Source organism: Homo sapiens, chromosome 2, assembly GCF_000001405.40.
Source record: "Homo sapiens chromosome 2, GRCh38.p14 Primary Assembly".
Taxonomy (NCBI): Eukaryota; Metazoa; Chordata; class Mammalia; order Primates; family Hominidae; genus Homo; species Homo sapiens.
In genome coordinates, this window is record NC_000002.12 from 107,251,703 (window position 1) to 107,264,159 (window position 12,457).

A 12,457-nucleotide genomic window follows, 5' to 3' on the forward strand; every position below is an offset into this window, starting at 1 on the left:
AAGTATTGAGTCTTACTATCCATGAGCATGGACTACCTCTCCATTTACTTAGCTCTTTGATTTCTTTCATCAGAATTTGTTAAAGTTTTCTCATATAGATGTTGTACACATTCTGTTAAATTTCTATGTTAGTATTTCATTTTGAGAGGGTACTGATGTAAATGATATTGCGTTCTTAATTTCAAATTCCACTTTTTCATTGCTGACATATAATAAAGCAATTTGCTTTTATATATTAACCTTATATCTGAAACCTTGCTATAATTGCTTTTCAAAGAGTGTATTTTTGTCCATATTAAAAATTTTCAACATAGCTGATCATGTCATCTGCCAACACAGACAGATTTTCTTCTTCCTTTCCAACCTGTGGACACCTAGTTTCTTTTTCTTGTCTTATTGTATTAGCTAGGTTTTCTAGTATGATGCTAAAAAGGAGTGGTGAGAGGAGGCATCTTTGCCTTGTTCCTAATTTTAGTGGGAGAACTTCTAGTGTCTCACCATTAACCACACTGTTATCTGTAGATTTGTGGTAGATATTCTTTATCAAGTTGAGGAAATCCTTCTTTATTCCTAGTTCACTGAGAATTTTAACCACAAATATGTGTTAGATTTTGAAAAATGCTTTTTCTGCACCTATGGAAATGATCATGTGTTTTTTCCTTGTTAGCCTGTTGATGTGATGTATTATATTAATCAATTTTCAAATGTTAAACTAGTCTTGCATTCCTGGTATAAGTTCCACTTGGTCTTGGTGTATAATTATTTCTATATATTGTTGGATTCAATTTGCTAATATTTTGTTGAGGATTTTTGCATCTATGTTTATAAGAGATGTTGGTCTGTTGTTTTCTTGGAATGTCTTTGATTTTGGTATTAGGGTGATGCTGGACTCATTGTGTGAGTAAGAAGGTATTCCTTCTGCTTCTGTCTTCTGAAAGAGAATATAAGGAATTGATACAATTTCTTCCTTAAATGTTTGGTAGAATTCACTAGTGAATCTACCCGGACCCAGTGCTGTTTGTGAAGGTCATTAATTATTGGTTTAATCTAATAGATATAGCCTTATTAAGATTGTGTATCTCATGTGAGTTTTGACAGATGGTGTCTTTCAAGATATTGGTTCATTTCATGTAAGTTATCAAATTTATGGGTATAGAGTTTCTCATAGTATTCTTACAGTATCCTTTTACTGCCCATGAGATCTGTAGTGATGTTCTGACTTTCATTTCTGATATTAGTAATTTGTGTCCTTTGTCTAATCAGCTTTTGATTTTACTGATTTTTTTCTATATTGGCTTTTTAATTTCAATTGTATCGATTCCCTCTCTAATTCTGATTTATTTTCTTCGGCTTACTTTGGGTTTAGTTTGCTTCTTTGTCTAGTTTCCTTACGTGAAAGTTTAGATTATTGACTTTAGACCTTCTTTCCTTTCTAATATATGCTGTAAATATTGTAAATTTTGCTGTAAGATCTAATTTTGCTGTATGTTTGATAAGTTGTATTTTCATTTTCAGTTAGTTGACAATATCTTTTAAATTCTGAAGTTTTCTTCTTTGACCTATGTGTTACACAGAAGTATGTTGTTTAATATTGAATTATTATGGGGTTTTCCAGTTATCTTTGTTACTGATTTATAATTTAGTCCTGATTTAGTTGGCTAGTAGTTATTTTAACAAATATGTGCCTAAGATGAAGCTTGAAAGACTGCTATTACAGAAGCTGTATTACATTTCACACAGTGAAACATCTTTGTATTTATATCAAACACCTGTTATTCTAAACTAATTGTGCATATTTTTATTTGCAATTTTTTTGTGCATACATGAAAAGTGAACTGACCCTTACTGAAATGTTAGCTTCATTAGCAAAAGAACTTGGCAAATAGTTAAATGATTACACTTTTAATCAGTGACACCAGATACTTCAAATATAAAATCAGTTAAAGTAAAACCAAAAATTATTTGATTTATTAACTCTATTTATGAAGCTAAATGTTTGAACTTTTTTCTGTCAAAAATTAAATATCTGGCATAACTTGTGAATGCTATTGTAAATTAAATTAAAATTCAACATGGAGAGTAGAAATTATTTGTTTTTGTGCTTATACTATGAATATAAGTTTTACTGAAGCATAGTGTGGAAAGAAAATGAACAATGTTCTAAACTAAATTAAGAAACCTATAGAGCAGAAATGTATGTGTAATTAGCTGTAGCACAAACAGAGGCCATCGTTACAACCAATCACACAGGATGCATGTTGCTACCAATTGAAACTGAATTTGCAGTTAACAAAATTTTCTATGTACTTATACCTAATTTTCTATATATTTATTCTATATATTTATAAAGATTTCTATGTATTTATACCTGAGCTACAACATTGTTTCTGATGGTGTTGAATTAAAATAATAAAGTAATGAATAAATAAATAAATAAAACTTCAGTCTTGCAGTCTGAGCTTTCTTTCTTTGCTGTTCATTATGAATCCAGTTTTAGAAAATGTGTGAGCCTTTATGAAGGATTAGTTTAAAATCACAGTAAGTGCCCTCTGTGGTACTGAACATATTTTGGAAACAAGTCCCTTACATTTTTGTTGTATTTTCAAAACTGGTTGAAAATTTTTAACTAAATAATTGGACACATGGAGCACCAAACAACTTTGTCTTTCAAAGCTTTTAGTAAATTGTAATCATTGAGGATAAAATTTGCTAACAGGGAGAGAGTGCTCTTTATTCCTACAGAACCACAGAAGCAGAGAACACATCCGATGAGGGGAGATCAGAGAGTCTACATGAAATGATTTTGGCATTTGCTATACTTTGGATAATCTTGACTTAGAAGAAGAATATTTTAATGATGATGCTATTTTTAATTAGAAAATTTCTATTCTAAACCAGCATATAATAAAAATGAAAAGATCACAATTTTGGACCATCTAAAATTGGCCACAATATTCCAAGAAATAATAGAGATAAATTTTCATGAGCTTTGTGTTATTAAATATTTATTGAAGAAATATTTATTGAAAAATACTTATTGAAGTAACCCAGAGCCATGCGTGGTGATGTGTGTCTCTAGTCCCAGCTATCTGGGAGGCTGAGGTGGGAGGATGGCTTGAACATGGGGCAGTGAGCCTTGATTGCACCATACTCTCCAGCCTGGGCCACAGAGCGAGACCCTGTCAAAAACAAACAAACAAACAATGATACTCAGACTGCAGTATCCTTTTTAATAGAAAATAATTTTGAGACTATCCTTCATTTAGCAGAATTTTATCTGAATTTATCAGATACCTCAGCACCCATAGAAAGTCTATTTTCTCCTTTAAAAAATGCTATGCTTTTCAAAGAAGAGTCAACTAAATGTGTCAACAATTTCAAATGTATTAACCATAAATACATACAGAAGAATAGTGCAGGTAATTTTGTGAAAAACATTTTAACACAATAAGGTTATATTGAAATTACTGACTCCAGAAAAATACTAGGGGCATGAAACTCATTAAAGCATGAACTATATTCCAAGCTTTGCATATATATTTATTTAATTTACACAATCACTATAAAATTTTACCCCAGTGTATACACATACGCGCAAGTATATGGAAATAAGTGTATTTTAAAAATAGATTCAGAACAGAACTGTTGTATAGGCCAATATAATAATGTAATAAGACCACATTATCAGTCAATCAATAAATATATCAGAAGTGTTCATCTGAATGATCGCACAGGCCCCACAGTTTGGGCGGTGAGTAGGACCCGGGTCTACTTCTCGCCCCCTCTGTGCGCTTGGCTCTTCAGGCCCGCAGTGCACAGGGCTCGTACTCTGCTGTGTTGTCTTCTCTCTGCCTTGGCTGCGCAGTATCAAAGCCCTCCCTATTTACGGGGAAACCTTTACCTCGCGAATCTTGGAATCCCACCGCCCACCACAGCAGGTGAAAACGTCAGATGCTGGCTTTCCGGCCTTCTGTGCGCTTAGGGCCAAAGCCTGTGTTAGGCTTGGCCTCAGATCCCCGCACCACGGAACTTGTAGTGGGAGCCAGTGACTCAGAGTTGGGAAAGCAAAGATGTCGTTACCCGGGGGCACATGGGGACTGCTGCAGTGGTCCTGGCGTCCAGTGTGCAAGGACAGCACAGGTATTGCTCCAGCAGTGGTGCTCAGAAGCCAATCCCCCTTCCCCCCGGCAAACCCCCAGCCAAAGCCTAAGTGGAAGCGTGGGAGCCCAGCAGGAGGCGCAGAGGCAGCAGCTGCGGAAGCTGGTGCAGGTGGGCCGGGTGGGCCACGGTCTTCGCTGCCCTGGCCGTGTTGACAGACTTGGCTGTGACCGTGGCTCCTGCTCAGCCCTCCTTTTTGCTGCTTATTTTCTAAGTCTGGTTCTCCTGGCTGTTGTGGGATTCTGGAATCAACCATCAACCCAACATTTCGTTTTGTTGTCGTGAATAATTTCCTTTTCTGCTCTAATCGGCCGGAGTTTCTGCGCTCATGCTGAAAAGCCATGGCTGCTATTACCTCCAAGGACATACACCAGTGTCAAGCCAAGAGGTCTAAGGCTGTGCTTGGGCTTGGACCACGGTGGGTGTCCCGGCTCTACATAGAACTCACATGAAGAACTTTTCAAACTGTAAACAGTAACTCAGCAGGAAGTAGGAGTGCTTCAACCCTGAAAATAGCATGGAGACCAGGGAACAACACAAGTGTCATCCTGATATCAATTGGGGTGTCCTGGTCTGTTTAGATTCACATGAAATCAGATCATGGCCATAATATGTAAAATGTAAATCTAGCATCCCGGTCCTTCTGGGATTTGATTTTCTTGATTACTTTTGTTTCGTGTGCCCACTTTTACCTAGGTAGTATGTTTGAACGTTCACATTTGTTTAACAAAACATATGATACACTAGGCTTTACCAATAAGAACTACGTATTCAGCCCTCTGAATTAGGTATTATTACTATCCCCATTTTACAAATGAAGAACTTGAAGTTTAAGAAATAATTTTCTGAGTCACAAAATTATTGCCAGAGTGACAGAGTGAGTGGTCTGAGGGCAAATCCCAGGCTCTATGGAACTGGCTGGTACCACCCATGCTGGGCCTGCTGTCCTTTTCTATCCCTTATCTTTTCCCCTAAAGTATGGACAACAGGAGGTTATGTCTGCAACAGATTTTAAGTTTTGAGGAAAAGACTTGTGTCTGAGTGAGAGGGTTGAGAGAATGTGTTATTAAGCATTGCTATACCACACCAAAGAATGAGCAAGCAAACAAGACAGGGTGACAACAAGATCCTTTCAGTTAGATTTTAGACCCCCATATCCCTGAAATGTCCTTGGTCATTTCTGCTGGCCAAACCCTTTCGTAGGATATTTGCTTCTACTTTCTCACTGAACTTTTCCAAATTTTCTCCCTCCAGGAAACCCCAATTAATTACTTTGATTATAGTGATAGAACTGATCTTATTTCTTCACTTTCTGAGCCATGTCCTGAGGTTTATTTTTTCCTGAGTGACTTATCCTTGAACTGGTTAAACCAAAAGCTATCCTGAAAGTAATGGTGCCTCTCCCTAGTAGGCAGACAGAATTATAGTTGTACATTCAAGGGCTTTTCTCTTTCCTATACTAGCCTAGACTACTAGGCAAACAATAAAATGGAATGAAATGAAATAGAATAAATAAACAAAGACCAAGTAAAAGCTAGTAAGAATACCCAGGCAATGAGAGTCCCACAGACAGGTCCAGTTGAGTAGGTAGAAACGGGGGTGAGGAGAATGAATGGAGGACTTGTAGGAGGGTGAAGGTGGCCGGGGGTGGAGTCTTGGGATTCCTCATGAATGGGCCTCTCTCTCCAGGGTGGTGGAGACCACAACATGATTCTCTGTCCTAAAGCAGCTGCACATCTAAACCAAAGCCAACAGCAACAGCATGTCAAATAGGAATGGACTTAGGCGGAAGTACTCAGAGAGGTAGCAGGAGGCCAATTCTGGCTGGACAGAGAAGCCAGCCAATACCAGCCACAAAGCTACTCCACAGCTGGTCCAAACAGTGCTAGAGTGCATTGTCCAGCAACGAAGCCACAGAGAGAAACAGCCAGGGCTGTGAGCTTCCCATGAAACTCCCCAGACCAAACCGTGGCTACACTTGAGTTAAAGTTGAGTAAGAATAAGTGCAGTAAATGTATCCATCCTGCAGTTATTTTTATCCGTTGATTTCTTAGTAATGTAACTTTTGAGAAATTCTAATTGATATTAGCAAAGCCACATTGAAGAAGAATTTTCTATGTTGCATAAGAGCTGTGGGTAAAACAGAACGTCCCCCAGGGGCTGTGATGGTGAGTGCAGGCAAAGGTGAGTGGAGATGGCTGGCAGGTAGCAGGAGACAAAGGACAGGGCAAAATGAGAAGGAGGGAGGATGTAGAGAAGGGGAGCCAGGCAGAGGGAGAGAAAGGCATTGACCCAGGAGTGGGAAGCAGGGTACTGGTGGATTTTTCGGGTCCTTTCTCTACTGGGATCTCAGCTTCCTACTCAGATTTTTGCTACAGCAGTGGAGCGTGTGTTTATGCTGAAGCAGCCACATATGACCAAACAAGGAAGGACTAACCAGTGACCTTACAGAACTAGATTGACTAGTTAGCTTGGGTCAGTGAGGAAAACTGGAAAGAAAGGCCAAGGTGCTTAACCTCTCAAGCAAGGTGTAGCATTGGCTTTCTATGTGGTGTTAGGAAATGTCTGCGGGTCTCACTCACTGGAGATGCCACTGCAATTAATAGGTAGGGTCACATTTGTTAAATTCTGTGGCCCATTTCAATATGCTAATTGCAACCCTATTAAGAAATGCTGGGAAAAGCATATTAACAAGATTTGAGGTGAGAGCGGAGAAAGAAAAGTAAAGAGAGAAGAGATAGGGGAGAGAAGAGAAAGGGAAATGTATGGGATGAAACATTACACGTTGATGGATGCTCTGCCATGCATTGCTGGTCAGTCACGGTGCTGAAAATAGGACCATGAATCATTTCTGTTGTAGACTTTAAATAAGGGTGGGAGAGAGGGCAAAGGGAAGGGAAGACTGTGGAGAGACAGGCAAGATAAGCACAAACACAGGCTGCGCACATCACCATTTCCTTCACCACATTGCAATTGAGCACTTCCTCCTGGACTCTACCTGCTCCTTTCTCCACCTTCCCTGTGTCCAGGCCTTTTGGAGGCAGGTATTGAAGCCGTTATAACATGTATCTGGGATTTATTTTTTTTATTCAAATATGGTGAGGCCAACAGATCAGGAGATGACTGCCTTTGAAAAGACAGTTTGTGACTCACAGTTCCCCGGAGGAGGGGGCACATCACACGTCAAAGAGCCACAGGGAGCACCAGGGCCAGTCAGGAGCCAGAGGTAGGGTCGACAGGGTGGGGGGGTATTGGTGGGGGTGGGGAGCACTTTTGTGGTTTCTCAGTAAAGGAATGGGTGAGGCAGAGTAAGCAGCTGAGCAGACTTAGAATTGGATAGTTTGAATAATTTCACCAAGCTCTGGGATATATAGGTGTCTCCAGTTGTCCACTTCTGGGCCCTGGGTGATTTAAGGCAGGGGGATAGTGTCCCAGACTGCAGACATCTGATAAAAGGAGGCAGGTGGAGGATATGGACTTGGGATTGGTTAGCTGCCTATCAAAGGCATGACCATGGGGGAAAGTTGTCTGTTATCTCTGGGAATTAGCTGATGCTGGGAGGGGAAGCTCCCCTCTAGGTCTTGAAGGCCCCAAGATATCAAAACATCATAAAATGTAAAAAATGTGACTAATACAGAGATTAGTGCAGAAACAGAAAGATGCTCAGGCAGACATTCAATGTGGAAAATCCTTGTTTCTCATCTCGGCTCTATGAAGTAGGCAGGGGCTCATTCCTAGTCGCCTGCTGTCTGGCTCCAGTGTGGCTAGCCAAGTTCATGGGTATCAGGTTGCCAGATCCAGCTGCCTTATTGATGGCACTGGTGACACTTCAACCTCAGAACACTTTTTTTCAGTTTTCCTCACTTCATTCATGCAATATACATTTCTTGAGTAGCCAGGGATTGAGTAGGCACTGGGGCTAAGCCATAGATTGATTGAACTGATGGTCCCTGTTCACACCTTCCCTAGCTCTACTACCTTTATAAAGTGACTTTCCAGCTCCGTTCACTGAGAGCTGGAATCTGTTACCCTGGTTTGGCTTTGTACTTTGCAGTGGCCAAAAGAATTCAGCACAAGTCATGTGCTGGTGCTGAGCCTAGGCCTCAGGAAGTCTTTATGTGCTTCAGTGCTCTTTCCTAGAACTTCCCCTCCACCATAAGGACAAGTCCAAGCTAGCTTGCCAGAGGATGAGAGACCAGATGGAGCAGAGATAAATTTTCCTTGCTGAGGGCATCCTCACCAGCTAGCCCCTGTCCATCTGCTGATTGCGAGTGCATGCACAAGCCCAGCCAGCATCAGCAGCAGGGCTGCCCAACCAGTCCTATACTCTTGAGGGAAAATGAATGTTTAATACTGTATGCCACAGAAGGATTTAGGGTTGTTTGATATGCAACATCATTTAGGGGCAGTAGAAAATGGATATAAAATATGTAGGTGAAAGAGAGAGGACTGATCACAAATGTTTCCAAAACAATACTGGAGACAGGTATTTTCAGACCACAGTAGAAAGTGTGGGCTTGATGTTGTCATATAGAAGAGGTTTATAACCCAGAAAGGATGGTCAGAAGAACTTTCTGAAGAAGCTGAGGTCTGAGACCGAAGGAGAAATGGAAAATAGCTACAGAAGGAAGGTGGTTTAAATGTCATTGCAGCGAGAGGGATGGTCAGGGTTCTCTAGAAGGACAGAACTAATAGGATAGATGTATATATAAAGCGGAGTTTATTAAGGAGTATTGACTCATGCGATCACAAGATGAGGTTCCACAATAGGCCATCTGCAAGTTGAGGAGAAAGGAAGCCAGTCTGAGTCCCAAAGCTAAAGAACTTGGAGTCCAATGTTCGAGGGCAGGAAACATCCAGCCTGGGAGAAAGATGGAGGCCAGAAGACTAAACAAGTCTAATGTTTCCACGTTCTTCTGCTTGGCTTTATTCCGGCTGAGTTGGCTGCTGATTAGATGGTGCCCATCCAGATTGAGGGGGTGTCTGCCTCTCCCACTCCACTGACTTAAATGTTAATCTCCTTTGCCAGCACCCTCACAGACACACCCAGGAACAATACTTTGCATCCTTCAATCCGATCAAAGTTAACACCAATATTAACCATCACAGATGGGTATATAGGTTCATGGGTGAGAAGGAAAATGCTGAGGGACTGCCAGGACTTCAGGGTGGCTGGAGTTAATTGTGTGTGTGCATGTGTGTGTGTGTGTGTGTGTATGTGTGTGTGTGTACGTATGCATGTGCAGGGGGTTGGTGGACATTGAAGCAAGGGCCTGTCAGGTCATCTTGGGACTTATGTCATGGTTTATTCAGAAGTCAGTGGAAAACCACTGAAGACTTTTCAGCAAGACAGTGGCACAATTCAATTTACATTTTGAACCACAGTTTCTGCAAAGGTAGAGGGTTGATTGGAAATAGTGTCACTAGGACCTGAGAAGACAGTAAAGAGGTCTTTAATTGAGATCATCAATGCCTGATATAAGGCATTGTCTTGGTGATAGATAAACATAGGGGTTAAAATTCACTTGCAAAACATATAAAACTTGTAAAACTAGTCAAATAACTTATAAACATTTTTAAAAGGAAAAGTGATACATTTCATTATGATCAATCCAAATATTACCAACTCCTCTGATTCTTCTTCTCTCTAGCAAACTTGATCTCAGGACAGGCATGTTTTAAATAAAGGCTAAGCTAACATTTACCTGCTAGAGTGAAATCCTTCTGTCTGGCTTCTCGTGGCTATTATCTGCATCATCAAATGGTGGCTGTCACATTACTTTGGCAGTTCTCTGGCTTTATGCTCCAAAGATGTGCTGAGACAAATGTCAATCTCAGGTCCTCAGACACTATAGGAACCTGCCGGCATGGTGAGAGGGTACCCCTGTCACTGGCAATGGCAGAAAGGCTTTCAAGGTGAACTTTTTCAAGATACAGAGTTTGATGGCTCTAGAAGGTGGCCACAGAAGCCTAAATGGAAGCTGCCTTTAATGCATGAGACAGGAATTTAAATTGCACCTGTTATGTACAAATTGTTCATCCTGTCACGTCATGAGGGGGCCCAACTTCAGAGATCATGGCCTGAGTTGAGACTTGAAACAAATCTATTTGAGAGAAACAGATGTGCTGCAGAGGAGGGAAGGGTCCCTGTCCCATCACAAAACGGAGCTGAGGTGACAAAGTGGTGGTGTAGACCAGCACTAGGTAGTTAGGGAGCTTCATCCCATTAGAACCAGAGATATGGGAAGGTCTCATTAAATCAAAGAAGGGTTAGGCATGTTCTTTTCCAGGATATCCTTGTACTAGACAGAGACATAGGCCTTCTGTCCACGAACATACACCAATAACAATGGTGGCTAACACTCATTGCAGCCCATATGAGGTAAATACTATTAATATTCCACTTTTACACAAAAGAGGAAATAGAAGTATACAAAGGCTAATTTGCACAAAGCCAGGTGGCTCAAAAGTCATGGACATGGGCTTGGAACTGAGGTCCAGTGTAGCCCCAAACTGATGTTCTTTTTACTCACCCAATGCCTGGCTTTGAGACCAGACTGGGGCCAGGTTCTAGTTCCTAGAGTTTGTGGGGACAGGTGGACAAGCAAGAGTAACAGAGCAGGACTCACTCAGGGAAGGCAAGGCCTCAGCCCAGGAGAGACATGGGTGGTGGAACCCATATACAGAGAGGAGCTCAGAGATCCAGTCAAGGGAATTGAGGTGCAAAGTTTCAGGGCCCAGTCATGAGAACCAGGATCATAGAATGCTTTGGAGACGTGCCTCAGTCCCTCTCACTCTTGTCAGTATTGGACCTCTACTTGAAAAGTTTATCCCACGGGCATAGCACTGACCTAGAAATAATTGCAGAGTATGCCTACTTGAATACCTATTCTCTTCTTCATTTATGTTTCAATTCCAGATTTTAGTTTAGCACTTGGGGGCCCAAATAAACCCTACGTTTCCAAGCTCCTCCTGTAGTGGGGTGTGACCACATACTTGATGTTCTAGCCACAAAAGATAGCTGAAAGTGAAATGAACATTCTCTATGAAGTGCTCTTTAAAAAGAATGAGCATGTCCTTTTTTTGTTGCTTTCTCCTCACTGCAGGCTAGAATTTGGACATGATGGCTGGAGCAAAAGCAGCCATTCTGGACTGTGAAGTGTCATCTAAGGAAGGCAGAGAGGCATAGTAGACATGAACAGCTTTGGGCTACCTCTCTTTAGATCACTTTTATGTGTAAGGGTAATGAACTATATCTGCATATATGTACATTATATTGCAGCAAACCTAATCCTAACTTAATTACTGAGTTTGTAATTCCTGCTTTACTTTCAGACTAGAGAAATATTTCTTCTCAATGTTCCATTGAAATCAGTGTAGCATTAATGTGAGATTGGGGGAGTGGCACTAGAAGCTGTAACACGGATGTATTCTTTATCATCTTGTCCTATTATCAGTGCTAATTTTCTCTAAAGAGCTGACTTTAGGAGTTGAAGGAAGGATTGCAAAAAAAAAAAAACTCTACTTTCCATATTCAATTCTCTTGATTGCAATTTAATGTATAGCGTCAAGGCACTTTGAAAAAACTGGACCAGTGCATTTTGTACACAGTAACCAAGATACACACACTTCTGAATGACATCAAAGAGGCACACTTACCCCCAGATGCAATATCCAAAAATTTCTAAGAAGATTTGAATAAAATATTATGGCGCCTAATAATGTAGAGACTTTTTTCCATTCGAACAAAGACCAAGAATTCATTTTACCCCTTGTCAGCAGATATAAATCTGAAACTGAATTTAAAAGCTTTTCCATATGCTCAGGCACAGCACCATCCTGAGCTAAGTTTAAATCACAGCCTTGTCCTATCATATGTATCTATCTTCAAGTGGGGAGTGGATGTGGGGGAGGAGGGTGGGTTGAGACTTCCCGTTTAAGGTAATAAATGCTGTCACGGGACCATCTGCCATGGTCTGCATGTCTCATGACTCAGAGATGCAGCTTCTGGAACACAAAAAGATCTGGTTAAAATCTAAGCTTTACTACAGGGTATTTGCATGACCTCCAGGGGTTTATCAAACCCTCCAGTCTCTGCTTCCTCATCTGTAGAACCGGGTAACAACCCCCAATTTTTTTAGTGTAACATGAGACAATAAATGGGGGAATCTAGATCCCTGGCCTCTCCACCCCCTGTTCTGTCTCACAAATGTGCTGTAAGCCCAGGCCCATTCTTAGGGGAAAACAATTATTTTCAAGCTTCACAATTGTTAACCCATTGTGATGCCGTTTAAAGGGC

General features: G+C 40.8%; 1 long non-coding RNA gene across 1 annotated transcript in view, besides 1 other annotated feature; it reads right to left on the reverse strand.

The window, feature by feature from the left end:
* Positions 1 to 2,988: 2,988 nt before the first annotated feature.
* The window catches only part of LINC01789 (long intergenic non-protein coding RNA 1789), a 110,883-nt gene continuing 101,414 nt past the window's right edge, over positions 2,989 to 12,457 (reverse strand). The window contains exon 4 of the long non-coding RNA NR_183814.1: positions 2,989 to 3,179. This is a non-coding gene — a long non-coding RNA (long intergenic non-protein coding RNA 1789). The remainder of the gene's footprint in view (positions 3,180 to 12,457) is intronic.
* Positions 4,454 to 4,628: a silencer, noted in NCBI's record as "fragment chr2:107872612-107872786 (GRCh37/hg19 assembly coordinates)". NCBI's record gives its function as "represses an EF-1alpha promoter that drives an FKBP-Casp9 reporter gene in an ReSE screen in HepG2 liver carcinoma cells {active_cell/tissue: HepG2}" and the evidence as "EXISTENCE:reporter gene assay evidence [ECO:0000049][PMID:32094911]".